Source organism: Homo sapiens, chromosome 7 (genome assembly GCF_000001405.40).
Source record: "Homo sapiens chromosome 7, GRCh38.p14 Primary Assembly".
Lineage (NCBI taxonomy): Eukaryota > Metazoa > Chordata > Mammalia > Primates > Hominidae > Homo > Homo sapiens.
Window position 1 is genome coordinate 102479130 of NC_000007.14, and position 27650 is coordinate 102506779.

The following is a 27650-nucleotide window of genomic DNA, read 5'->3' on the forward strand; positions in this document are numbered from 1 at the left end:
GCGCTTTTCGGCGCATGCTCAGAGCGCCGGCAGGGCTGTTCTGCCCCTACAGAGGCCTCCTAGTCCTGGCTGAGCGGGAACCTCAAGCTGTACCTTTCTCCTTTCCCCATGTCCCTTGATCTTTCTTTGGAAACGTGCACCCCCTTGGAGTGCGCAGCAGGAGGCCCCTGAATAGAGAGAATAAAGCTAAGGGGTAGTGGACAGCTGCGGCTAGCAGCCGTAGGGGGAGCAGAAGATCTCGTGGCCAGAGGCAGATCTATGACAAGCCCCCTGCCCAGGCTGCCTATACCGACTGCTGCAGGACCTCTGCCTGGGGGGTGCAGCTGGCTTGTTAGCCGGGAGGGACAATTGGGTGAGGGATGCAGAAGGAGGCAGGTGTATACAGCAGTGAGAGGGGAGCCCGTAGGGTTACGTATATCTTTTTATATATTATTATTATTATTTAGAGACAGCGTCTCCCTCTGTCGCCCAGGCTGAAGTACAGTGGCGCCATCATGCAGCCTCCAACTCCTGGGCTCCAGAGATCCTCCTGCCTCAGCCTCCCGATAGTTAGGACTGCAGCCATGTGCCATCACACCTAGCTATTTTTTTTTTTTATTTTTGGAGATGGTGGGGGGGGGGGTCTCCCTATGTTGCCCAGGCTGGTATTGAACTCCTGGCCTCCAGCAGTCCTCCAGCCTCAGCCTCCCAAAGTGCACTTGGTGGATGTGGGCAGCAAGCCACCCAGGTGCCGAGGCAAGAGACCGAGGGCACGAGCTGTTCCAGTATAATAAAATATATAAAATAAGAATAGTTATACTAGATATAGATCTTAGATATGATTATATATGAATCATTAATCATTAGTTTGTAGTAATTATTCTTTATTCCAATATTATAATAATCCTCGCTCTACAATCATAACCTAGGAAACACCAGGCCATACAGAGATAGGAGCTGAGGGGACAATGAGGAGTGACCAGAAGACAAGAGTGCGAGCTTTCTGTTATGCCCGGACAGGGCCACCAGAGGGCTCCTTGGTCTAGCGGTAACGCCAGCATCTGGGAAGACACCTGTTGCCAAGCCCACCGTGGTCTAGCTGTAGCGTTAGTGTCAAGGAAAAACACCCGCTACTTAGCAGACCAGGAAAGGGAGTGTACAGTGAGATCAGGATGAGGGTGGTGAGGTGGTGATCAGGGGGACCCATGCTTCTGCTCAGGGGGTTGGCAGAAGCCAGCAAGGCTTGGGGTTTCCCTGTTTGGAGCTCTCCAAGTTGAGAGTGCAGAGGAGTGTGAGATGCGTGTGAAAATGCAAACTTGGCTCTCCCTGGCTGGAGGCTGGCATTGGGTGAGTCTCTGGTAGGACCAGGCCATGTATACTTTTTAAGCTTTTTTATTCTTGAAAAGTTCAAAGATATACAAAGATAGACTATGCAGGATAATGAGCCCCCACATACTCCGCATCTCTTGTCTGTAATTATCAGCTCGTGGCTACCTCTACCTCTCCCCTCTACCTCTTGTCTCATCTCTACCTCTCCCCCTGACCCCTGCCTCTGGGTCATTTTGCAGCAAATCCCAAATGCCTATATCATTTATCCTAAATATTCCATAAACATTCCACTATGTAGCTCTGAAAGATAAGGACGCTTACAACACAACTGCAATATCTTTTTTGTTTGTTTGTTTGTTTTTGTAAAGACGGGGATTTCGCCACGTTGCCCAGGCTGGTCTCGAACTCCTGAGCTCAAGCGATTCTCCCACCTCAGCCTGCCAAGTAGCTGGGATTACAGGCATGTGCCACTGTGCCCAGCCAAGTGCAGTATCTTATCACACCTTTACAAAATTAATAATTCCAATCATCCTATAGTTGATTAGTGTTCAAATTTCCAATTGCCTCATAAAAAGATCATTTCTTAACATTTTGTTTTGTTGCAATTGGTTAAATATCTTCTCTTTTTTATACTTTTTATTGTAGTAAAATAGGTATAACATACAATTTGCCATTTTAACCATTTTAAGTGTTTAACTCAGTGGTGTTAATTACATTCACAATGTGTAGCCATCACCACTATTTAGTTCAAAAATTTCAAGTCTCCTTTATTTTCCCTTTTTTTTTTTTTTTTTTTTAATTTTAGGGACTAGGTTTTGCTATGTTGCCCAGGCTGGCCTTAAACTCCTGGCCTCAAGGTGATCCTTCTGTCTTGGCCTCCCGAGTAGCTGGGACTAGAGGTGTGCACCGTCACACCCAGCTTCAAGTCTCTTATTATAAAGTTCTGGCCACGCACAGTGGCTCGCAACTGTAATCTCAGCACTTTCGGAGGCCAAGGCGGTCAGATCACCTGAGGTCAGGAGTTCGAGACCAGTCTGGCCAACATGGAGAAACTCCGTCTCTACTAAAAATACAAGAATTAGCTGGGCATGGTGGCACACGCCTTTAGTCCCAGCTACTCGGGAGGCTGAGGCAAGAGAATTGCTTGAACCTGGGAGGCAGAGGTTGCAGTGAACCAAGATCAAGCCATTTGCACTCCAGCCTGGGCAACACAGTGAGACTCTGTCTCAAAAAAAAAAAAAAAAAAAATTATAAAGTTCCCCTTCATCTGAAAATTGAATGTGATTTTAAACAACCTATTTGAGCTCTGAGGTAGATGTCTAAGTTCAAAGCCCACTCCTCCCTTCTGGGGGTCCCAGTTTCGTGATCTCTTCTTCCCTTTCCTTCCTGGTAGCTTAAAAAAATAGAGATAACAGGATAAAGGTGAGGAATGAAGGAATGAATGGATGCAGGCAGACGTGAAAACAGCGCCCACCTGGAGAGCTAGAAACATCTGGAGGGCTAGGACCACCTGGAGATGCCCCGTGTCTATGAGCTGCTGTTGTGAGGAGCCTGGAGCCAGTGGACGCTGGGAGGGAGGAGGCTTTAGAGTGGGGGGCAACCGGGGGAGGAAGGAGGTTGGCTGAGCCAGGTCTGGGGGCCTCAGGGACTTCTGTGTCCTCATAACCCACAAAAGCCCTGCCCACCCTGCCCCGGGGCGGCCCACAGTAGCAGCGGCTGGTGGTCCCTGCAGCCGGTCAGCCCCAAGAGCGGGCACAACGTGTGGCCTGGGTACCACAGGGCCAGAAGAGAGGGACAGGGGCCCTGCTCCTGTCACCTGCTGCTTCTGCCACCCCAGGACCAAGTCATTGGTGTGAGCCGGTGGCCAGACATCACTGCCCCGCAGGCAGTGGGGGCTCCTCTTGGGCTGGGGGCAGGGCTTGGTGGGCAGCCCTATGGGAGGGGGAGCTGGTGGGGGACCACAGGGACTGACCAAAGAAAGGCAGGCCAGATCCCAGGACAGCAGGGGTTCTAAGTCCCCAAGAGTGGGGACTGGGCCGGAGTCAAGTTTTGCCAACCATCGGACCAGCCCCGGGCCTCTATGATGAAGGCATCAGAGAAACCCCATGGGGCCAGAAAGGGGCTGGGGCAACGGTGCACCTTTGGGATCTGGGGTCAGAGGGGGAAGGAGGTGACTGCATGGCAAGGCAAGAGCTGAAGGCCTTCTGGAGAAGGAGGGTCCAGTCCTTGTCCCCACCCTGATCCAGGTCACTGTGGACGCAGCTGGGAGCTGAGCCTGGCAGCCCATGTGACACAATGGTGGGGGGATGGGAGCCCCTACGTGGCCAACACTGCCAGCCACACAGCTAGAGGGCTTGGGGTAAGGGCTGCGTGAAGAGGAATGGGGTCTCTGAGTCCCGCCTCTGTGCTGTCCTCAGGGACACCCTAGAGAAGGGACTTGCTTGGGGGCTGCTTTGAGGAGAGAACAGCTGGTTGGACACACTGGGCTCTGTGGCCTGTGGGACATGAAAGAGGGGACCCAGGGACAGCAACTGGGAAGGGAAAGGAACCCCCGACCCCAGAAGAGTGGGGGGAAGAAAGAGGGGGGAACAGGGATGCCCAGAGCCCATACTGTCAGCCCCATCATCGGCACATCCACCGACAGCCTCCGGGGTCCCCCCGGGCCCACTTTCTCCCCAGACCCTCATCACAAGACCCCAGAGCCTGGACAGTAAGAGCAGGTTTACTGTTGGCAACAGCACAGCCCTGTGGCACCCAAGGGTAGCGGGTGGGGTGGCGGCCGGGTCTCCTGGGGCCCCGTTCTCCCTCCCATTCTCTAGGTCCCTGGAGGCCAGACCCCTGGGTGCGGCCCATCCTAGCAGTGGTTCTGGCTGGGTCTGTCCTGGGCAGGAGAGGAGGGTCCCTGGAGAGGCAGTGATGGCTACAGCGTCTGTAGGGAGCTGGGGACACTTCCGGCCAGCCATGACAGGCCCAAGCCTGCTCAGCTCTGCACTTCTGGGGATCCCCTTATTCCTGACTCTCCCCCCTCCCCCACCTGGAAGAGACCTAGGCCCTGCACCCTAATGAGGAGGACCGGGGTGAGGGGGTGCAGAGTGTCCTGGGGGGGCTCCGAGCGCTTGGCAGGGGACTCAGCAAGGGGAGCGTAGGGCGGGCCTCACGTCTGCAGCTCCAGGAGGCAGTTGGGCTCTGAGGGTGGGGAGCCGGCCGGGCTGGAGCTATGGGCCTCGCGGAGGTCCTGCAGCACCCGGAGCAGCCGGGCCAATGAGTCCTCGGGGACTGTGGGCAGAGGCAGCCGTGAGGGCCCCTGGGAGTGAGCCCGAGGACCCCACCCGTGCATCTCTGGAGGGGGCTCGGGCCACGAGCAAGTCCCAGGTGGGCAAGACCTACCTTTGCCAGGGCTCGTGGGCACCGTGCCTGCCTCTGCGCCCCCGCTCAGCTCCCGGTGCCTCTCCCTGTGGGGGAGGTCAGAGTGAGGGCCAGCAGCCTCCACTCTCCCTGCCAGACCTTCTGGTGTCCTTGTGGGAAGGCTGGGGGTGGCCCAGCATGGGCCTCCTGGGCTAGAGGTGGCTCTGGGGGTGATGGCAGGGCTGACTCTTTCAGTCTGTGAAGAGGCTGGGCCAAGGCCCACCAGGGCACCTTCCACCTTCTCCCTCCCCGTGTCTCCTCCTCCTCCCCATCCCACTGTGGGTTGACCAGAAGGCCCTTTGCATTTGTTTTGTTTTGTTTTTGAGACAGAGTCTTGTTCTGCGGTCCAGGCTGGAGTGCAGTGGCGCAATCTAAGCTCACTGCAACTTCCACCTCCTGGGTTCAAGCAATTCTCCTGCCTCAGCCTCCTGAGTAGCTGGGATTACAGGCACCCTCCACCACATCAGTTAATTTTTGTATTTTTAGTAGAGAAGAGGTTTCGCCATGTTGGCCAGGCTGGTTTCAAACTCCTGATCTCCAACAATCTGCCTGCCTCCACCTCCCAAAGAGCTGGGATAACAGGCATGAGTCACCGCACCCCACCTTCGTGGGTTTTGAGGGCAGAGATAAACCCTGGAAGAGTCGATGAGGAATGGGGAGGACCACACCCTTCCTCCTTGCAGAGTGTAGGGGTGTGACAGATGAATGAGCTCCAGCTCCAGTTGGCTCAGGGGAAGCTGAGCGCATGGGAAGCACTGGATCACCTTGAAGTATCCTGGCACCAGCCACATCTCCAGAGACCCTGAGTGATGGGGCCTTGGCATCCTGTTTTTTAAAGCTGATCTTTAAAAGCATCCTGTTTTTCCTAAGCTTCTGCCAAGGCTGAGAACCACTGGACGAAGCAAGATGGCCAGGGAACTCAGGGAATTGGCTGAGGCTGTGCCTGTACTCCAAGGGCCCAGGGGAACAGCTGGGCAGGTTGCAAGGTGGGCTCAGTCAGCACATGGCATGAAGCAGGCATGGCCCTGACCCTTGGGGCCTCTGTCCTAACCTGAGCTGGCCTCGTGCTGCAGAGAGGTACTCCTGGTGCCCTCCCCAGATGTGGCCAATTACAAGAGAGGTGACCAGCCACCATGGAGCAGCCCCAAGCCTGGCACGTTCCCCAGGCTGCACAGGCTCTCCTGGGTGGGACTCACCACAGCATGGCCTCCACGCCCAGCAGGTGCCGGTAGATGAGCTGGGCCTCAAGGTCATGGTCAAGAGGGTCATTCCACTCCTGCAGGGTCACCCGTGACCGGGTCTTATCGCAGCCCTGACCTGGGGGCACAGAGAGGGCAAAGTTACGAGCAGACACTTGGGACTACCATGTCCAACACTGTGGTTGCACAGATGGAGAAACAGAGGCCTGGAGAGGAGAGAGATGCACTCGGGGGTCCCTAGTGAGGGCTGGGCTGGGAGCATAGCCTGGTAAGTCTGACCCAGGCCCTGCCTCGGCTCCCCACCCTCTGGGGGCAGCAGCTCCTCTTGGGGTCAGCCCCTGCACCACGGGATGCGTGACTGAGGAGCATGGATATCATCAGGATATGACTCGGGTTGCTGGGTAACTTTTGGTTTTTTTTGAGACGGAGTCTCGCTCTGTCGTGCAGGCTGCAGTGCAGTGGCGCGATCTTGGCTCACTGCGAGCTCTGCCTCCCAGGTTCACGCCATTCTCCTGTTTCAGCCTCCTGAGTAGCTGGGACTGCAGATGCCCGCCACCACGCCCAGCTAATTTTTTATATTTTTAGTAGAGACGGGGTTTCATTGTGTTAGCCAGGATGGTCTCGATCTCCTGACCTCGTGATTTGCCCGTCTCGGCCTCCCAAAGTGCTGAGATTACAGGCGTGAGCCACCGCGCCCAGCCAGGGAGCCGGGTAACTTTCTGGAAGACTGTCTGCCTGGAAGGGAGCAGGCTGAAATGTTAACATCATGGTGAGGTGGGCCACAGGGGGTTCATGCCTTAGAATGAGCTGGTCCTGCAGCTTGCTGTCTTTATGACCTTGCCAAGTCATCTGCCTTCCCTAAGCCTCAGCTTCTCCTCCATACAGTGGAATAACAGGCCCTGTCTCTTGGGCCAGGGTGGGTCCCACCTTGCCGATAATGAGAGTATCGCTCTGATGGTTACAGGCAGAGGCTGCAGGCCATATCAGCCAGCCAGCAATGCCCTTGCAAAGAGTCACCAAGAGGCCAGGCACAGTGGCTCACACCTGTAATCCCAGCACTTTGGGAGGCTGAGGCAGGAAGATAGCTTGAGGCCAGGAGTTCAAGACCAGTCTGGGCAACATAGTGAGACCCTGACTCTACAAAAAAATAAAATAAAAAATAGCTGGGTGTGGTGGCATGTGCCTGTAGTCCCAGTTCTGCAGGAGGCTGAGGCAGGAGGATGGCTTGAGCCCAGGAGGTCAAGGCTACAGTGAGCTATGATTATGCCACTGCACTCCAGCCTGGGTGAGAGAGTGAGAGACCCAACTCAAAACAAAAACAAAAACAAAAGAGTCACCCATCCCTATACAGTGCTTGGCTGTAAATCCAGGGCTGGGCTAGAGTGCGTGGGTCAGTTTTCGATGGCCTCTGCCACACTGGGCTCTGGGGACCAAGATTTGGCCTGGCCTGAAGGACAGGGGACTCGAAGTGCTGAGTCTACTCTGTAAAGTAAGTGTGGATAACAGGGAGAAGGTCTCGAAAGTTCTAGAACTGTGCTGTTCTACAGGGCGGCAGCTAGCCACATGAAGCTATTTGAGTTAATTAAAATTAAAACAACGTTTTTTGTTTCTTTTCTGTTTTTTTTTTTGTTTTTTTGTTTTTTTTTTTTTGAGATGGAGTCTCGCTCTGTCGCCAGGCTGGAGTGCAGTGGCACCATCTTGGCTTACTGCGACCTCTGCCTCCCAGGTTCAAGCAGTTCTCCTGCCTCAGCCTCCTGAGTAGCTGGGACTACAGGCCCACGCCGCCATGCCTGGCTAATTTTTTTTTTGTATTTTAGCAGAGATGGGGTTTCACCATGTTGCCTAGGCTCGTCTCTAACTCCTGAGCTCAGGCAATCCGCCTACCTTGGCCTCCCAAAGTGCTAGGATTACAGGCGTGAGCCACCACACCCGGCCAAAACAACATTTTTAAAAATGTGAAACTCAGGCCAGATGTGGTGGCTCACTCCTACAATCTCAGCACTTTGGGAGGCCGAGGCAGGAGGATTGCTTGAGCCTGGGAATTCAAGACCAGCCTGAACAACATAGCAAGACCCCACCTCTAAAACAATTTTTTTTAAATGAGCCAGGTGTGGTGATGCATGCCGGTAGTGCCAGCCTACTCAGAGGCTGAGGCAGGAGGATTGCTTGAGCCCAGGAGTTGGAGGCTGCAGTGAGCTATGATCGTGCCGTGCCACTGCACTCCAGCCTGGGCAACAGAGCAAGACCCTGTTTTAAAAAATTAAACAAAAAAAACCCCTCAGCTCCTCAAGCCACATTTCAAGTGCTCAAGAACCACAGGTGCTAGAACCTAGAGTACTACACAGTATGGAGTCCTTCTAGAAGCTCCTCTATGCCATCCCTCTAGTGCCCAAGGCTCAGGGTCCCCTCCCACCCACAGCTCCGGATTCAGATGGCCAGCATTGGAGTGTGCGAACCCAGGGGCTCTCTGGCTCTCATTAGCAGGGGGCTCCTCGAATGTGTTCCTGAGAACACCTGTTCTGTAAGAAGCTCCTTGGGGAAGAGAAGGGTTCCCTGTCAAAAGAGTTTGGGAAGTGCTGGGTTAAACCACGTTAGAAATGGAATTCTAGGCCGGGCGTGGTGGCTCACACCTGTAATCCCAGCACTTTGGGAGGCCGAGGAGGGCAGATCACGAGGTCGGGAGTTCAAGACCAGCCTGGCCAACATGGTAAAACCCCGTCTTTACTGAAAATACAAAACTTAGCTGGGTGCAGTGGCTTGCGCCTGTAGTACTTGGGAGGCTGAGGCAGGAGAATCACTTGAGCCTGGGAAACGGAGATTGCAGTGAGCCGAGATTGCACCACTGCACTCCAGCCTGGATGATAGAGCGAGACTCAGTATCAAACAACAACAACAACAACAACAACAACAACAACAAAACAAGAGCAGCTTGACTAACATGGTGAAACCCCATCTCTAGTCAAAATACAAAAAAATTAGCTAGGCTTGGTGGCGAGTGCCGGTCATCCCAGCTACTGGGGAGGTTGAGGCAGGAGAATTGCTTGACCCTGGGAGGTGGAGATTGCAGCGAGCTGAGATCGTGCCATTGCACTCCAGTCTGGGGGACAGAGTGAAAGTCTGTGTCTGAAAAAAAAAAAAAAAAAGAAGAAGAAGAAATAAAAAGAAATGGGATTCTAACGTGTTTTCGGGCCTCCTTAGAGCCTTCAGCGAATTCACTCATATGCATCACACACATCACGTGGCATTTCCCAAACCACCTGGTCCACGGGACCCTTTCTGCCCAGAGCTCCTGGAGGGGCCAGCATTCCTTGGGTTAGGTCCCTGCAGGTGCACAGCAGGGCTCAGGGTCCCATCGTTCAGCCAGAGGCCCGATCTCGCAGTGGACGGATGCAGAGCCCGGGACCCAGGCCTCCTCTCCCACCTGTCTTCTCTTTTTGGTGGCAGCAGCTCCACTTGTCCCCACGGAAGACGCCAGGGTGGTAGGAGCCCAGCAGTCCGGTGTTGTTGATGCTCACCTTCCGCAGCGCAGACAGCCACTGGTTAAGCTCATTCACACACTGCAGGGGACACGGAGGGGGAGGCCTGTTCAGACGTCACCTCCTCCAGGAAGCCCTCCTAACCCGGAGCTCCTGTACCACGCCAGACGCCATGTTCCCCACCATACCAACCCAGCAGCTTTGAGTGAATTAGGAGAAGCTGCCCTTCCTCCAGTGGAACATGACCCATGCCCGGGCGCATGGCCTGGAGAGCAGGTGCAGTGGCTCACTCCTATAATCCCAGTGGCTCACTCCTATAATGCCATCATGGCTGGCTAATTTCTTTTTTTTAGAGATGGGGTCTTGCTACATTGGCCAGGCTGTTCTCAAACTCCTGGCCTCCAGTGATCCTCCCACCTCAGCCTCCCAAAGTGCTGGGACTACAGCTGGGATTATAGGGGGCCGAGGTGGGAGGATCGCTTGAGCCCAGGAATTCAAGACCAGCCTGGGCAACACAGCAAGACTTCATCCTCTCCTCTCCCACCTGTCTCGTCTTTTTGGTGGCAGCAGCTCCACTTGTCCCCACGGAAGGCACCGGGATGGTAGGAGCCCAGGAGGCTGGTGTGGGCTGGATTTCAGCCGCCGCTGGCCCCTTGGCCACGCTCGTAGGTATTCCAGAACCCGCCAAATATATTTGGTGGCCCTGATATCACTACTTTTCCCAGTGGCTCTGGACCCTGACACAAAAGGGAACTCCTAGAGGGAAGGGCACAGAGGGACAGGTCTGTGACTTCCTCCCCACAGGCCAGGACGGTCAAGCCCGGAAGAAACCAACCCCCCTCCAGCTGCAGGCTTCTTACTTGTCCCACATGTCCCTGCCCTAGATACACATCTGGGTCACCCTCCTACAAGGTCCCTGCTCGAATGCCACCCATCAGAGGTCCTCCCTGACCACTCTTTAATTAATTTACTAATTAATTTATTTATTTATTTTGAGATGGAGTCTTGCTCTGTCACCAGGCTGGAGTGCAGTGGCTCGATCTCAGCTCACTGCAACCTCCACCTCCCAGGTTCAAGCGATTCTCCTGCCTCAGCCCCCCAAGTAGCTGGGACTACAGGCACCCACCACCACACCCGGCTACTTTTTGTACTCTCCCTGACCACTCTTAATAGGACAGACCGCTCCCTGCTATACCCCACTCTCTTCCCTCCCTTGCTCCCTTAGTCCCTTCTGGTTCCCTTCAAGTCACTATCACAATTTGCTTTTTTTTTTTTTTTTTTTTTTTAAGAGACAGGGTCTCACTCTGTAGCCCAGGCTGGAGTGCAGTGGTGTGATCATAGTTCACTGCAGCCTCCAACTCCTGGGTTCAGGCTATCTTCCTGCCTCAGCCTCCCAAGTAGCTGGAATCACAGGTGCATGCCATCATGGCTGGCTAATTTTCTTTTTGTAGAGATGGGGTCTTGCTACATTGGCCAGGCTGTTCTCAAACTCCTGGCCTCCAGTGATCCTCCCACCTCAGCCTCCCAAAGTACTGGGACTACAGGCATGAGCCGACATTTGAAACATGTATTTATTGGCCCATCTTCTCCCAGGGATATCAGCTCCATGAGGGCAGGACTCTGCCTCATCTGCCACTGTATCCCCTCACCTAGAATCATGCCTGGAACCTAGGAGGTGCTCAGTAAGTATTTTTTAAATAAATGAATGAATGAGTTAATGAAGGAACAGATGAGAAGGTTACTTGAGAACATGCACCCAGAGCCACACACAGCATAATGTTTGATTATTAGGCATTGATACAGACACAGAACCACACAGGTGCCAGCTCAGACTTTCTGTTTTAGAGAAAGGGTCTTGCTCTGTTGCCCTGGCTAGAATGCTGGGATTATCCGTGTGAACCAGCGTGCCTGGCCCCCATCTCAGTTATCTGGAAATAGTTTCCAACAAACGGGTGCAACGTGCAAATTTCACATCACGGGGATGCACCTGTCTGTGCACTGGCCCACACACAGACCTACACATGGATGCCCAGGGAAAGACATGGGCCATGGCCTCCTGGGGGCTCAGGCCCCTGGACAACACACACACACCTGTCCCTGACACCTCCCAGATTAGACACACCCTGCGGTGCCTGATGTAGCTGGTAGCGGGGCGAGAGGCTCAATCAACTCTTTTCTCATCCAGTCCACTCAGGCCCCTCCCACAGCAGCCAGGCCACTCCCACAGAGCTCAGGCCACTCCCATAGCACCCAGGCCATTCCCACAGCACCCAGGGCATTCCCATAGCATCCAGGGCACTCCCACAGCACCCAGGCCACTCCCATAGAGCTCAGGCCTCTCCCACAATACCCAGGCCACTCCCACAGGACTCATGCCACTCCCACAGTACCCAGGCCTCTCCCACAGCACCCAAGCCACTCCCACAGTGTTCAGGCCACTCCCACAGCACCCGCTCCCCTCCCCGCACCTTGCACTGCAGGTAGGCAGTCTGGGGCCTGCCGGCGTCGTCCGTGTAGATGACCTGCATGACGTGCGAGCCGCCAAAGCTCTTTTCCTCAACCTTTTCCGCTGCCCGGATGTTGGCTAACTTGATGAGGGCGCTTTTCTGGGGCAGGCAGGGAGGAGGAGGCTCAGGGACCTAGCCAGGGGCATTCCATTCCCCATCTCTGGGCCTCAGTCTCCCCTTCTGCAGCACCAGGGGTAGGCATGGGAGACCTAGAGTGACCTCAGCCAGGGCAGAGCACAGACTGATGGTGACCAAGTGCCCAGCAACTGGGAGAGGAGGACCTGGCCTCTCTGGGGGGCACTCCCAGAAGGCCTCGGAGGTGTGAGCTTTGGGGTAGTGTCGGGACAGCCAGCATTCCCTGGGCTACAAAGTCAATCCGGCCGTGGCCAAGGCTTTGTGACTTTGCATTTATTAATTTTCCAACTTGCTTTTGTAGTCCCAGGCTCTAATAGTCATATCCTGACCGGGCGCAGTGGCTCACACATGTAATCCCAGCATTTTGGGAGGCCGAGGAAGGCGGATCACCTGAGGTTGGGAGTTCGAGACCAGCCTGACAAACATGGAGGAACTCCGTGTCTACTAAAAATACAAAATTAGCCGGGCATGGTGGCGCATGCCTGTAATCCCAGCTACTTGGGAGGCTGAGGCAGGAGAATCGCTTGAACCCGGGAGGCGGAGGTTGCGGTGAGCCAAGATCGCACCATTGCACTCTGGCCTGGGCAACAAAAGCGAAACTCCATCTCAAAAAAAAAAAAAAAAAAAATGGGACCAGAATTAAATAATGCCCATGTAGTCAAATCTTTCAACCCTGGCAAGGAAGATGTATAATAATCATCTGAGTGCTTTGGGAGGCTGGGGCAGGAGGATTGCCTGAGGCCAGGAGTTTGAGAACAGCCTGGGCAGCATAGCAAGACCCCATCTCCGCAAAAAAAAAAGTTAAAGAAAATTAGCTGGGCTTGGTGGCACGTGCCTGTAGTCCCAGCTACTCGGGAGGCTGAGGTAGGAAGATTGCTTGAGCCCAGGAGTTTGAGGCTGCGGTCAGCTATGATCGCACCACTGCACTACAGCCTGGGTGACAGAGCAAGACCCTGTCTCAAAAAATAATTATCATCATCTGAGGGGTCTTTGGTCGGAAGGGGCGGGCCCCTCATCTGGTGGGACCCCTGAGCTGGTTGAGAACAGGGTGGGTGATGAGCTCCTTCACCTACTCCTAGCCCGCTCTCACCTGCCCAGGGCTAGGCTGGGTACTCCTGGAAGATCATCCCCATAGCCTGCATGACTGGGGGCAGGTGTACAGCAAGCAGTCACCAGGTCCATGGAGGAAGTATGTCCTCAGCCCTTCCTGGGAGAAGAGAGCTTGCAGGAGAGGTGACCCATGACTCAGAGAGGGCTGTACAAGGTGATCTTTGAGATCCCTTCCCACGCCAAGATTCCGTGCTTCTATATTCCTGCCTCTTCCAGGAAGCCTCCCCTGTTTGCCCTAGCCTCCTACTCATCTAGCAGCCCAGGTGATATACTATCTTTAATAATATCATTTGCCTAAATAGTACTACCTGCCAGGCCCTGGGTCAGGACCCTTAGGGAGATCATCTCATTTAATCCTCAACAACCTGGTAAGGTCGGATCAACTTCCTCCATATTCATTTTTTTTTTTTTTTGAGACGGAGTCTTGCTCTGTTGCCCAGGTTGGAGTGCAGTGGCACGATCTCGGCTCACTGCAACCTCCGCCTCCCAGGTTCAAGCGATTCCCGTGCCTCAGCCTCCCGAGTAGCTGGGACTACAGGCACCCACCACCACACCCGGCTGATTTTTTGTATTTTTAGTAGAGACGGGGTTTCTCCACGTTGGCCAGGCTGGTCTCAAACTCCTAACCTCAAGTGATCCACCCGCCTTGGCCTCCCAAAGTCCTGGGATTACAGGCGTGAGCCACCGTGCCCGGCCCTCCTAGGTTCTGACAAGCAGTACAGATGCCACACACCTGGCTTTCTTCTCTGACCCCGGGGGTACCTCAAGTGGGCTCCAAGGAAGGGGACAGGTGCCCCACTTGCCGGCCTCTCAGAGCCCCACTTGCCGGCCTCCCTCCTTACCCACCTTGGAGCTGGGCGTCTTCGCGAAGCTGAGGGCCTCGGTAGTGAGGGAGAAGTAGAGCTTCTTGAAGGAGGAGGACATGAGGGGGCCCTTGCCCTTGGTCCTGTGGATGAAGAGTGGCCCCTCCTTCACAGGTGGCGCCTGCAAACTCAGCGTCCGCTGCAGGTCCAGCTCTGCCAGGCCAGGGAGGGAGGGGAATAGAGAGCCCAGTGAATGAGGGCGGGACTGGGGGGAGCGGAGCAGTGGGAGGGGCCATGGGGCTCAAGGGCTGAGCAAATCTGAACAGCAGGCAGTGGACGTAGTCATGGGGCTCAAGGGCGGAGCAAACATCAACAGCTGGTGGTGAGCGGGGTGACAGGTGGACTGAGGAAGGCAGGGCCATGGGCTTGGAGGCGGGACACGCGTCAGTAGCAGGTGGCGGCGGGGCTATGGAGCTCAAGGATGGAGCAAATGTCAACAGGCGCAGATGATGGGGGGGTGAGGCCATGGGTCTAGGGCTGGGGCAAACGTCAACGGCAGGCAGTGGGCAGGGTCACAGGAAGCACAAACAGTGGTGCGTGGGTCTATGGCCTAGGGGCCTGGCAAATGCCAACAGCAGGCGGTGGGTGGGGCCACGAGAGGAACAAACAGCGATGGGTGGGGCCGTGGGGCTCAAGGGCGGAGCAAACGTCAGCAGTAGGCTGTGGGCGGGTCTGTGCAGGGCGGCGCTCACCGTCCTTCTCCTCGATGTCCACGAGCTTGGTGATGAAGTCCTTCAGCTGCGCCACGCCCTGGTGCACGGTGGGCTGCAGCGGCTCCATCCAAGCCTCCTTGGCCCTGGAAGCCGGCGTGTCCATGTTGCCCACGTTCTGGACTGCCTGGAGGTGACAGCAGGAAGGACCAGGTTCTGCTAGGTTAGGGGCCTAGCCACTGCACCCCCTCCCACCCCCCCTCCCCAAGTCTTTGCTACTCAGCTGTAGCGATGGAGGCAGAGGCGACAGAGGCCATGCCCACGGGCCCCCTCCAGCCCCACTAGGGATCAGGGAGGAGAGGATCATGAAGTTTGATGCCTTATGATAACTGAGACCACTTGGGCCTTCCTCTGTAGGTTTAACTGACGCTGCTGCACCGGATACCCCACCCCGGTGCCGGGCACATAGGTGCAGCCTGAGAGTAAGCAGACCCGGGTTGGAAGGTCCCGCGATTCACCACCGACAGGATGGGCGGCCTTGGCAACCCCCGACCCCTCGCAGGCCTGTTCCCTTATCCATGAGATGGAGCTCGGACAAGGTGGCCACAGGAAGGCTTTGCAAACTGTGAAGTGCAGTGCCTACGTGGGCGTGCCAGTGGCCTCGCCGGAGCCGGTAGGGAACACTCTGCAGTCCAGGCCAGGGCCCCGGTAGGACACCCAGCTGTGCATCCCGCCCGTGGCCGCAAGGCCCGCACCTTGGCCAACAGGAGCAGGGTGCGGCTGGTGCGGGCGTCCGCGTGGCGCTCCCGCAGGTGGAAGAGCTTGGGCGACATGATGGCGGGAGAGAAGAAGCGCAGGCACAGGAAGCTGGTGACGGCGATGAACGGTACATTCTGGAGGGGTGCGGAAGAGCGCGGGCTGGAGTCCCCCAGACCAGGGCTCCTGGCAGCCCCCTCCCCTTAGGCTCCGTCCCTGACCCTCGCTGGGACACAGCCTCCCTGGTCCTCCCCAGCGCTCCCTGGTTCCCCACCGCTCTTCACCCCTCGCCCCAGCCCAGTCCAACCCGGCCCAGCCTAGCCCAGCGGGTGGAGGGCGCACCTCGTGCTGGGCGCCGGGGAAGCGCTCGCGCACGCGCCGGAAGAGCTGGCGGAAGGTGGCGCGCACCACGGCGGGGCACGCGCGAACCGAGCGGCTGAGCGCGCTCAGCAGGGCCCCCAGGTGGGCGCGCAGCGTCTGCGCGCTCTGCTCCAGCACCTCGGCCTCGGTCTGCGGGCGGTGCAGCCCGGAGCACCTGCGTGGAACGGGGCGGGTTGGCAGAGGAGGTCGCGGTCAGCGCCAGGGCCACGACAGGAACAGTGGCTCTCACAGCAGCCAGGACACGGACACAGGGGACAATACACGGGTGGGCAGAAGCACAAACACACATGCTGACAGGGCCTGATCCCAACCCGCTGCCGCTGCACCCCGCAACCCCCGGAGTTACCCCCGGCCTCACCCTACATCCTTAACTTCCACTTTGCTGGGGTCCAGCTCCACGTACTTCTTCTCCTCAAACACCTTGTTGATGATGGGGCCCAGGACGCCGTGCAGGTACTGCATCCCGGCCACCTGGGGACCACCGCAGGTCACATTGATCCTGTCTCCCCCAGTCCCACTCCAGCTGCCCACCTTCTCCCGGCAGCCGCCCTTGCACCGTTTGCCTGCCGTATCCGCCCAGGAGGGGGCCAGGTACACATGCAGGGCAAACTGTTTATTCATGAATGAATGAATGAGTGAGTGAATGAATGACTAGAATTCTTAGCCCTTGTAATCCTAGCACTTTGGGAGGCCAAGGCAGGAGGATCACTTGAGGCCAGGAGTTTGAGACCAGCCTGGGCAACATAGTGAGACTGTCTCTAACTTAAATTTTAATCACACACACATTCTCTTTGGGGGGGGGGGGGGTGCGGGGCACGGAGTCTAGCACGGGGCCCAGGCTAGAGTGCAGTGGCGTGAGCTCACTACAACCTCTGGCTCCTGGTTCAAGTGAGTCTCCTGCCTCAGCCTCCCCAGTAGCTGGGATTACAGGTGCCCACCACCATGCCAGGCTAATTTTTGTATTTTTAGTAGAGATGGGGTTTCGCCATGTTGGCCAGGCTGGTCTCGAACTCCTGACCTTAAGTGATCCGCCCGCCTCAGCCTCCCAAAGTGCTGCAATTACAGGCATGAGCCACTATGCCCAGCCACATTCTTAACCTTAAAGGGCTCTGAATATGGAGATAGAACACTGGAGTCGAAGTCCCAGCCCCCTCTGTCGCTCTCTCTGAAGCTCAGTGTTGTCGTTTGCAAGATGAGGACAATATAGCATGCAACCTCACCTTCAGAAAAGACTCCACGGACTTTGAGGCCAGAGAGTTGCTCCGGAACAGGGTGTTGGTCTCACCTACAAACAGAGGTCCCAGTGGGTAGGGGGCTGGCACAAAGCTTTTGGGGGAGGGGGAGGACAGAGGACCTTGGGGCTGGGGGATCTAAGCTGGCCCCTCAATAAAGGGCCTCCTCGCCACCTCCCAGCCCACTGTCCCACCTCTGCCCTTGGCTCTGTTCCTTGCCTCCCTCCTCTCTGACCCCATCTGCCTCCTACAGGAGGAGCCCACCCACCCCCAAACACCTCCCAGTGTTCTGGGCCCAGCTCCTTCCCAGGCCTCACTGGTGCGACTCAGCTCCAGCTGGAAGAGCAGGTCCAGGAAGTCCTTGGCCAGCCCCTGCCCCAGGAAGAGCTTGAGCAGGTTCGTGGCCACGTCCTGGCGACACTCGGTGCTGGTTGTCTCCTCGATGAGTGGGATCAGCTGCCCTGGGCCCTGCAGGGAGAGGCACGGGGGATCCCGAACCTTTCCCTCTGAGGACCTCAGAGCATCCCAGGGAAAGAGGACAGTTTCCCAAGGGGTGGCTGGGGACGGGGCCCTGGACACTGGCCAGCTCCTCACATCCCCAGACCTCAGGTTTCTGCTCTGCAGAATGGGTTTAGAAGGACAGGCGCACAGGCCTACTGCCACTGGACCCTCCCACCCTGCCCAGGCCCCCTCACCTGCATGCCCAGCTTGACCTCGTGGCACAGCAGGTGCACCAGTGGCTGGTAGTAGCTGGAGGGCAGCACCGTCTCGTCCCGCAGCCGCACCTCCAGCTGCAAGGAGCCCAGGTTGCCCCTGGAATGGGCAGCCTGTGACCTCTCCACCAGGGACTCAGGCCACCCTGGACCACACCACTCCCATGGCCTCCAGTTTTTTCCCTTGGGGCCGGCTTCCCATCTCTCTGCTCATGCCCTCCATTCGGGTGCCCTGCATAGCTCTGCCTCCCAGGCTCTGCCCGGGCTATTTATTTTCTGTTTTTGGAAAGCCCTTCCTGTCTCTGCACTCAAGGCACCTCTATCTGTCTTCGAGGTCTGGCTCCCTGCCACCTCCAAGCTTGGGTATGTGGAGCTGCCAGCCTTGAATCGATCAACTCCCAGATAATGGCACCATCATGGGTACACTTTACAGCAGAAGCAAATCCCCAACCCTCATAACAACCTAATAGGGAAACTGAGACCCGAGCCAGTTCAGCAACTTGCCACATTAGATTGAGCTTCCCAGCTTCCCTGTTCTGATAGGGAAGTTCAGAACAGAGGAGGGTGTGGACCAAGTGGGAACCTCTAAGGCTCCCACTGCCCCTGCTCAGCACAAGCCTCATGCACAGAGCAGTGTTAAGATGGGCCCCTGGGCCTGGCGCAGTGGCTCATGCCTGTAATCTCAGCACTTTGGGAGGCCAAGGCAGGCAGATCACTTGAGGTCATGAGTTCAAGACCAGCCTGGCTGACACGGCAAAACCCCATCTCTATTAAAATATATATATAAAAATTAGCCAGGCATTGTGGCAGGTGCCTGTAATCGCAGCTACTCGGGAGACTGAGGCAGGAGAAGCGCTTCAACCCAGGAAGCAGAGGTTGCAGTGAGCCAGGATTGCACCACTGCACTCCAGCCTGACTCTGTCTCAAAAAAAATAAATAAATAAAAAATAAGATGGCAAGATGGGCCTTGGCTGGTTCTATGGAAACACCTTGTGCTGGACACACAGCCGTCCACCTGCTCCTACCCTGTTAAGGATGGGAACTGGGGGAATGGGGGTCTGGGGCCTTCCACAGAGACACAAAGCTGAACCACTGAGGGCTGTGGGCCACAGCAAACAAGCCAGAGGGCTTCCTAGACAGGCTGCCAGATTTAGCAAAACGACCCAAGACACCCAGTTAAATGTGAATATTTTATTTACTTATTAACTATTTTTTTTAGAGATGGGGTCTTGCTATGTTGCCCAGGCTGGTCTTGAACTCCTGGGCTCAAGTGATCCTCCTGCCTTGGCCTCCCAAAGTGCTGAGATTACAGGCATGCGCCACCATACCCGGCCTAAATTTGAATATTTTTAGTATAGGTATGTCTCAAATAGTGCATGGTCATTCTTCTTCTTTATTTATTTTTTTTTTTTGCTGAGATGGAGTCCTGCTCTGTCACCCAGGCTGGAGTGCAGTGGCGCGATCTCGGCTCACTGCAACCTCCACCTCCCAGGTTCAAGCAATTCTCCATCCTCAGCCTCCCAAGTAGCTGAGATTAGAGGTGCCCGCCACCACATCCGGGTAATTTTTGTATTTTTAGTACAGACGGGATTTCACCATGTTGGCCAGGCTGGTCTTGAACTCCTGATCTCATGATCCACCCGCCTCGGCCACCCAAGTGCTGAGATTACAGGCATGAGCCACCGCACCCGGCTGTTTTCTTGAGACGGAGTTTCGCTCTTGTCACCGAGGCTGGAGTGCAGTGGTGGGATCTCGGCTCACTGCAACCTCCGTCTCCTGGGTTCCAGCAATTATCCTGCTTCAGTAGCTTGGATTACAGGTGCCCACCACCATTTTTTGTACTTTTAGTAGAGACGGTGTTTCACCATGTTGGCCAGGCTGGTCTCGAACTCGTGACCTCAAGTGATCCACCCACCTCAAACTCCCAAAGTGTTGGGATTACAGGTGTGAGTCACCACGCCCAGCGGTTATTTTTATACTAAAAATGTATTCACAGCCGGGCACAGGTCAGGAGTTCAACATCAAGCCCGGCCATCACGGTGAAACCCCATCTCTACTAAAACTACAAAAATTTAGCCAGGTGAGGTGGTCCTAGCTACCTGGAACGTTGAGATGGGAGGATTGCTTGCACCCAGGAGGTGGAGGCTACAGTGAGCTATGATCACCACTGTACTGGTGGTACAGGTGCATGCCTGTAATCCCAGCTACTCGGGAGGCTGAGGCATGAGAATTGCTTGAACCTGGGAGGCGGAGGTTGCAGTGAGCCAAGACCGTGCCACTGCACTCCATCCAGCCTAGGTGACAGAGTGAGATTCTGCTCAAAAAAAAAATATATATATATATATATTCACTTTTATCTGAAATTAAGTTTTAACTGGGTGTTCTTTTTTTTTTTTGAGACAGAGTCTAGCTTTGTCACCCAGGCTAGAGTGCAATGGCGCAATCTTGGCTCACTACAACCTCTGCCTCCGGGGTTCAAGCAATTCTGCCTGCCTCAGCCTCCCGAGTAGCTGGGATTACAGGTGCCCGCCATCTGGCCAGGCTGGTCTCAAACTCCTGACCTCAGGTGATCCGCCCACCTCGACCTCCCAAAGTGCTGGGATTACAGGCGTGAGCCACCGCGCCTGGCCTAATTTTTATTTCTTTGTAGAGACGGAGTCTCACTTTCTTGCCCAGGCTGGTCTCAAACTCCTTGCCCCAAGTGATCCTCCCACCTTGGCCTCCCAAAGAGCTGGGATTACAGGCATGAGCCACCGCTCCTGGCCAATGGTGTCCTATCTTATCTCACAACCCTATTCCTGGAGAATCTGGCATAGGGAGTTGGAGCTATGGCTCAGGGACACTGACCTTGGAGACTTGAACCCTGGTCTGAGGTCTGCAGGGAAATTTTCAAAGGGAAAATGTCTGAGTACTTGTTTCAGAAACTTCCAGAGGCAGAAAGCAGGAGACCTGTACAACCTGTGAGCTAAGAAGACAGACCTGGCCGGGTGCGGTGGCCCATGCCTGTAATCCTAGCACTTTGGCAGGCTGAGGCGGGTGGATCACTTGAGGTCAGGTGTTCGAGACCAACTTGGCCAACATGGTGAAACCCTGTCTCTACTAAAAATACAAAAATTAGCCGAGCATGGTGGTACACAGTTGTAATCCCAGCTAATCAGGAGGTTGAGGCAGGAGAATCACTGGAACCCAGGAGGTGGAGGTTGCAGTGAGCCAAGATTGTGCCGCTGCACTCCAGCCTGGGTGACAGAGCAAGACTCCATCTCAAAAAAAAGACAGAAGACAGAGCTGAGCTGAATGCAGAACTGTGGGGAAAAATAAAGGGGAGGGGCCGGGCGCGGTGGCTCATGCCTGTAATCCCAGTACTTGGGGAGGCCGAGGCGGGTGGATCACAAGGTCAGGAGATCGAGACCATCCTGGCTAACATGGTGAAACCCTGTCTCTACTAAAAATGCAAAAAATTAGCCAGGCGCGGTGGCGGGTGCCTGTAGTCCCAGCTACTTGGGAGGCTGAGGCAGGAGAATGGCGTGAACCCGGGAGGCGGAGCCTGCAGTGAGTCGAGATCACGCCATTGCACTCCAGCCTGGGGACAGAGTGAGACTCCATCTCAAAATAAATAAATAAATAAATAAATAAATAATAAATAAAGGGGAGGTGGAGCCCAGCCAGGATGAGAAGGATGCTGGCTAGGTGGGCAGGGGCTGAGGGGACCCTGGAGCTGTGTCTCCTGACCTCTCACCCTGAGCAGCCCCCCTGCCCTGCCTGCCTGTAGCCAATTCCCAAATGTCAGCCCCCACCCCACCCCTTGAGGCCGGCTGCCCAGCTCCATGCACTTACTCGTCATGCCGCCGGCTCTTGGACTGGTCGGGCTGCAGCCGGAACCAGCCCTCCTCCTGCTGCACCACCCGCAGTCTCTGGACATCAATCACCACCTGGGGACATAGTGGCAGTTTTCCTGGAGCTGGGAGACTTACGTCTCCTCCTTGCCAACTACTGTTCTTAGTGGGGAGGGGCCCCTTCCAAGGGTCCCTGAGTGCCAGTGGTGGTGGGGGGAAGTTGCTGGTTCTGGCAGACGGTGGAGGTGGGGGGGTAGTCCCAGGCTTCCTGAGTGTCCCTCTTTGGGGAAGCCGGAGGGAGGTCCCTGAGGATGGGATGGCTGCAATGGAACCAGGTGCTGGGGGACAGCAGGTGCAGCCTGCCGGGGGAGGAGGGGGGGCGGGGCGGTGGTGCTCACTTTGCCCAGGAAGTCGTTTCGGCTGACAAGGTCCCAGTCCCAGGCCTCCACGCACAGCGCCTCCATGGCCCCCTCCTGCAGCTCAAATTCAAACGTCTCATTCCAGCGTGGGTAGCATGACTTCTTCACGATCTGCCCAGAGGAGGGTGGGAGGGGGTTAGGCTGATGCCACTGGACTCCCCAGGCTGGGCAAAAGGCAGAGCTGCCCTAGACACCTCCCCTGGGTTCCCCACAGCCTCCTCGCCTTGGAGGTTCTGCCACAGCAGAGGTTAAAATGTCCTGTCCAAGCTCCCACCCATTTCTGAGATAGGGAGAACTGAGGCCCAGGGTGGGGAAAAGATGTATCCAAGGCCACACAGCAAAACAGTACTGACTATGAGGATGTGGTGAACAGGGAATACCTCTACACTGCTGGTGGGAATGTGAACTAGTACAACCACTATGGAAAACAGCAGAGATTCCTTAACTAACTAAAAGTAGAACTACCATTTGATTCAGCAATCCCACTACTGGGTATCTACCCAGAGGAGAAGTCATTATACAAAAAAGATACTTGCACACATATGTTTTTGTTTTGTTTGTTTTGTTTTGTTTTTGAAACAGTCTTGCTCTGTCGCCCAGGCTGGAGTGCAGTGGCACGATCTCAGCTCACTGCAACCTCCGCCTTCTGGGTTCAAGTGATTCTCCTGCCTCAGCCTCCCAAGTAGCTGGGATTTCAGGGGCCTGCCGCTACGCCCGGCTAATTTTTGTATTTTTAGTAGAGACGGGGTTTCACCATGTTGGCCAGGCTGGTCTCAAACTCCTGGCCTCAAGCAATCTGCCAGCCTTGGCCTCCCACAGTGCTGGGATTACAGGTGTGAGCCACTGTGCCTGGCCAAGATACTTGCAGACGCATGTTTATAGCAGCACAATTCGCAATTGCAAAAATGTGAAACCAGCCCAAATGTCCATCAATCAACAAGTGGATAAAGAAACTGTGGTATATATATACGATGGAATACTACTCAGCCATAAAAAAGGAATGAATTAATGGCATTCACAGCAACCTGGATTGGATTGGAGACTATTATTCTAAGTGTAGTAACTCAGGAATGGAAAACCAAACATCGTTATGTTCTCACTCATATGTGGGAGCTAAGCTATGAGGACGCAAAGGCATAACAATGACACAGTGGACTTTGGGGACTCGGGGGGGAAGGGCGGGAAGGGGGTGAGGGATAAAAGACTACAAATTGGGTGCAGTGTATACTGCTCGGGTGATGGGTGAACCAAAATCTCATAAATCACCACTAAGAACTTATGTAACCAAACACCACCTGTTCCCCAATAACCTATGGAAATAAAATATTTAAAAACAGAGCAAAACAAACAAAAAACACAGGGCTGGGCGTGGTGGCTCATGCCTGTAATCCCAGCACTTTGGGAAGCCGAGGCGGGAGGATCACTTGAGGCCAGGAGTTCGAGACCAGCCTGGCCAACATGGTGAAACCCCATCTCTACTAAAAATACAAGAAATTAGCCTGGTGTGGTGGTGTGTGCCTGTAATCCTAGCTACTCGTGTGGCTGAGGCAGGAGAATCTCTCCAACTGGGAAGGCAGAGCCTGCAGTGAGCTGAGATCCAGCCACTGCACTCCAGCCTGGGTGACAGGGTGGGACTTGGCCTCAAAAAAAAAAAACACCACGAAACACAAAACAAAAACAGTAGCGACTATACTGAGAAAGCAGACCTTGGTGTCTTCGTGCCCAGGACTGGGCCCTCGACTCTGGACATTTCCTGGGGGTGGGGAAGGCAGCATGGGTGTTCCCAAATAAACCCCACTCCGGCTGTCTCAATCCCCTCCTTACCCCCAAGCATGGCCGGGAGTGAGCGAAGTTGGCCCCAGAGGTCCTGGGACCTATTATGTCCCCTCAGAGAGGTCGCCCCTTTCCCTGGGCCTCCTCTGTAAGACTGTGGCCCCCAATCTGTCCCACCAGCGGATGGTGAGCAGGTGGTGAGGTGAGCAATGGGGGCGTGGCTGGCACGTCCCCCGAGCCCCCTGCCCCTTCCCTGCCCTCTGGCCTCCTCACCGAGGTCTCCCGTGTCCGGCCCTTGTAGCGCACTCGGACGAAGGGGTCAGATGTGCCATTGCGGTCCTTTGGGGCCAGATCCCTGGTGGGGGTGGAGGAAGATTGGATCATCGACTTGTCCCTGAGCCCCCCCTCCCCCACTTGTCACCACCATTATGTAACCACAGCGGGCCAAAAGGCCTGGGCACATTCCGTCCCTGGCAAGCTGACTGTGGACAGTGCGCCTCTGCCCTTTCTGGGCCCTGCTCCCATAGCCATCTCCCCAGGATCGCCCATGTGGCCAAGAACCCCCCAAGGTAGAGGCCATGGGTCCTTCCCACCAGGCAGCTGCAGGCCAGTGGCTGCACCTTGCTCTGGGGGTGGCAGGGGGGTGGTGTGAGTGCTGCCAGGGAACCGCCGGGGCAATGTTCCTGGCCCTCCATTCCCAGGGCTGCCCTAAGCCTCGGTTTCCTCATCAGGAAAATGGAAAAGTGAATCGCTACTGGGCTCAGGTTTAGGGAGAGAGTGTGCTTCTGGAAGGTCTGCCCCAGTAATGTCGCTCTACTTGGTGGAGGAGTGAGGTGCAGCCCTGATGGGCGGCCCTGCCCTTTCTCCATAGATGGGTCTTTACACAGCCCTAGTCTAGTCACGGTACCTCCAGCTTTTTTTTTTTTTTTTGAGACGGAGTCTCGCTCTGTCGCCCAGGCTGGAGTGTAATGGTGCAATCTTAGCTCACTGCAACCTCCGCCTCCTGGGTTCAAGTAATTCTCCTGCCTCAGCCTCCTGAGTAGCTGGGATTACAGGTGCCTGCCACCACGCCCAGCTAATTTTCGTATTTTCAGTAGAGATGGGGTTTCACCAGGTTGGCCAGGCTGCCGTCGAACTCCTGACCTCAGGTGATCCGCCTGCCTTGGCCTCCCAAAGTGCTGGGATTACAGGCGTGAGCCACCGCGCCTGGCCCTTTTATTCTTTTCTTTTTTTTTTTTAAACAGGGTCTTGCTCTGTTGCTCAGGCTGGAGTACAGTGATGCAATCATAGCCCACTGCAGCCTCCACCTCCTGGGCTCAAGCAATCCTCCCACGTCAGCCTCCCAAGTAGTTGGCACTATAGGTGTGCCCCACCACACCTGGCTAATTTTTAAATTTTTTTGTAGAGACAGGATCTTGCTGTTGCCCAGGCTGGTCTCGAAATCTGGGCCTCAAGAGATCCTCCCACCTCTGCTTCCCAAAGCATTGGGATTACTGGAGTGAGCCACTGCACCCTGCCAGTATCCCCTACTTAGAACTCTTTGTGGAAGAACACCAAAGCCCACTCATCTTTGATATTTGAAGCCTCTCATACCTGCCTTTCTTCCCCCTCAAGACTGTCTAATAAAAGCCCAACATTGAGGCTGGGTGCAGCGGCTCATTCCTATAATCCCAGCACTTTGGGAAGGAGGCTGAGGCAGGAGGATTGCTTGAACCTGGGGAGGCAGAGGTTGCAGTGAGCCAAGAAAACGCCACTGCACTCCAGCCTGGGCGACAGAGCCAGACTGCCTCAAAAAAAAAAAAAAAACCCACCAAAAAAAAAAAAAACAGCCCGGGTGCAGTGGCTCACGCCTGTAATCCCAGTACTTTGGGAGGCCGAGGCAGGCAGATCACCTGAGGGCAGGAGTTTGAGACCAGCCTAGCCAACATAGTGAAGTCCCGTCTCTACTAAAAATACAAAAAATTAGCCGGGCGTGGTGGTGCACACCTGTAATCCCAGCTACTAGGAAGGCTGAGGCAGGAGAATTGCTTGAACCCAGAAGGTGGAGGTTGCAGTGAGCTGAGATCGGGCCACTGCACTCCAGCCTGGATGATGGAGCGAGATTGTCTCAAAAACAAAAAACAAAAAAACCCCAAGGTTTTACTGAAATATTGAGAATCTCCCCAGAAAAAATGAGGAAATGTTCTTTCTTTCTCCGCAGCAAATGGACCTTCTTAGGCTGACTTGGAATTGCAGCAGGAGTCTCATTGCCGAGGACAACGGGGGACAAGTCCCCTCACTCTGAGAGAGGCCTGGACATTCCTCTCCCCTGCTAGGACTCACTAGAAGGCCAACCACTGTGGCCCCAGAGGATGGGACAGGGGAGATTCCTGGAGAGAGGGGAGGGCCAGGGAGACATGCTTCCATGCCTCCCATCTCCGTGGGTGACGATGGGTGCCTGGGAGAAGTGGCCCTGAGGTCCCAGAGCCCGGCCACGTGTGTGAGCGGGTGCACACGTGTGCATGCCTGTCCCCCAGACAGCCTGGTGCCTGGAAAGGATAAGGATGGAGGAAGCGGGTGAGTTGGGGTGGGGCGGGGGGGAATGAATGGCAGAGGCCAGAGAGTGAGCGAGTGTGGGGGTGTGGCTGAGGCTCGGCCCAAGCCCAGACATTTTCCATCCATTTCTATTTTCCCAGGACAGAAAATAACTCCCGGGAAGCCAGAGTGAGCAACATGGGCATCATCCGACCCACACCCCTCTGCCCAAGGGAAGTCTTCCTCTTAGACAGGCTGACCCCTCAAGGGTGGGGGGAACACTGGCTCCATAGGGCTGCCTGGCTGGGGGCCACCCTCCTGCCTCACAGGCAGGGAGCGACTTGGGGAGGTGGCTTTGGAGCCGGAAGGGAAGACGCTTCTCACGGACAGAGTGTGACTCAGACCCAGGCCCAGACGGGAGTGCAGCCTGCAGCTAAAAATACCCTGGGGGTTGGGGGGTGGCCCTGTCACAGGTGACTCAGGCCCATGGAACCATCCAAACCACTGTCCCTCCTTGGGGGAACCCTCAATTTGCCCATCGGGAGATTTTCAGCAACTCTTTTCACGCCCCCAGCCCCACGAGGGACCCACTTACACACACTCCCACCAGGCCAAGTTCACACTGGCGTTAAACATTGGGAAGCCGGCCTTAGCACTGGGGGACTGAGGCTGTGTGATCAGAGTTCGGGGTCTCCTCACCCGTACCCCCTACTCCACTCCTCTGTGATGGCTCCAGTTCCTCCATGAGAACATTAGACTGTCCCTTAAGGGACATATCCCCTTGAGTGGAAATCACCCAAGAAGCATCTTCAAGTCCAGAAAACCTCCCCAGACCCTCTCTTTTTTCTTTCTTTTTTATTTTTTTTGAGATACAGTCTCGCTTGTCACCCAGGCTGGAGTGCAGTGGCGCCATCTCGGCTCACTGCAACCTCTGCCTCCTGGGTTCAAGACTCCTGCCTCAGCCTCCTGAGTAGCTGAGATTACAGGCGCCTGCCACCATGCCCGGCTAATTGTTGTATTTTTAGTAGAGACAGGGTCTCACCATGGTGGTCAGGCTGGTCTTGAACTCCTGGCCTCAGGTGAACCACCTGCCTCGGCCTCCCAAAGTGCTGGGATTACAGGTGTGAGACGCGGTGCCTGGCGAGACCCTCTCTTGAGAGCAGGCTTTGATGGGAGGTGGCCAGCTCTGGGACCAGGAGGTAGAGGTGGGGCGAGGGGGGGCTCAGCTTCCTCATTGGGTTTCTCTAGTTGCAGGGGACCCACTGCCCGCCCCCAGGCCCCTGAGTCTCACCTGGCCTCCAGCACAGAGCAGCGTAGCCGGCAGGCCCGGGCCCCTGGCCACACTTCCAGCCGCAGGTGGATCTCGCCCTGCACCT

General features: G+C 55.6%; 1 protein-coding gene and 1 long non-coding RNA gene across 10 annotated transcripts in view, besides 1 other annotated feature; one reads left to right on the forward strand and one right to left on the reverse strand.

The window, feature by feature from the left end:
- Positions 1 to 846: 846 nt before the first annotated feature.
- Positions 847 to 27650, reverse strand: part of RASA4B (RAS p21 protein activator 4B) — a 37802-nt gene continuing 10998 nt past the window's right edge. For 2 of the 9 annotated variants that reach the window (NM_001367767.2, XM_047419681.1), the window contains exons 5-21: positions 27566 to 27650; positions 24034 to 24115; positions 21967 to 22098; positions 21570 to 21664; positions 17718 to 17835; positions 17340 to 17490; positions 17011 to 17075; positions 16149 to 16261; positions 15752 to 15944; positions 15409 to 15546; positions 14696 to 14840; positions 13987 to 14156; positions 11857 to 11994; positions 9334 to 9469; positions 5910 to 6030; positions 4696 to 4760; positions 847 to 4584 (exon numbers count right to left, since the gene is read on the reverse strand). The exon at positions 27566 to 27650 is cut by the window's right edge and continues 45 nt beyond it. In NM_001367767.2, the coding sequence (NP_001354696.1) occupies positions 4463 to 4584; positions 4696 to 4760; positions 5910 to 6030; positions 9334 to 9469; positions 11857 to 11994; positions 13987 to 14156; positions 14696 to 14840; positions 15409 to 15546; positions 15752 to 15944; positions 16149 to 16261; positions 17011 to 17075; positions 17340 to 17490; positions 17718 to 17835; positions 21570 to 21664; positions 21967 to 22098; positions 24034 to 24115; positions 27566 to 27650 (2069 nt within the window). In that variant the 3' untranslated portion in view covers positions 847 to 4462. Of the gene's footprint in view, positions 4585 to 4695; positions 4761 to 5909; positions 6031 to 8651; positions 9036 to 9333; positions 9470 to 9932; positions 10145 to 11856; positions 11995 to 13986; positions 14157 to 14695; positions 14841 to 15408; positions 15547 to 15751; positions 15945 to 16148; positions 16262 to 17010; positions 17076 to 17339; positions 17491 to 17717; positions 17836 to 21569; positions 21665 to 21966; positions 22099 to 24033; positions 24116 to 27565 lie in introns of those variants that run through there. The other 7 variants (NM_001277335.2, XM_047419684.1, XM_047419685.1 and 4 more) reach the window with 7 other exon arrangements.
- Positions 11470 to 11970: an enhancer, noted in NCBI's record as "H3K4me1 hESC enhancer chr7:102131046-102131546 (GRCh37/hg19 assembly coordinates)". NCBI's record gives its function as "activates a minimal SCP1, AML or CMV promoter by ChIP-STARR-seq in naive H9 embryonic stem cells {active_cell/tissue: H9 hESC(naive)}" and the evidence as "EXISTENCE:reporter gene assay evidence [ECO:0000049][PMID:30033119]".
- LOC124901715 (uncharacterized) lies at positions 14785 to 16263 on the forward strand. The gene is made up of 2 exons (XR_007060463.1): positions 14785 to 14876; positions 15071 to 16263. It is a non-coding gene; the product is annotated as an uncharacterized LOC124901715 (long non-coding RNA).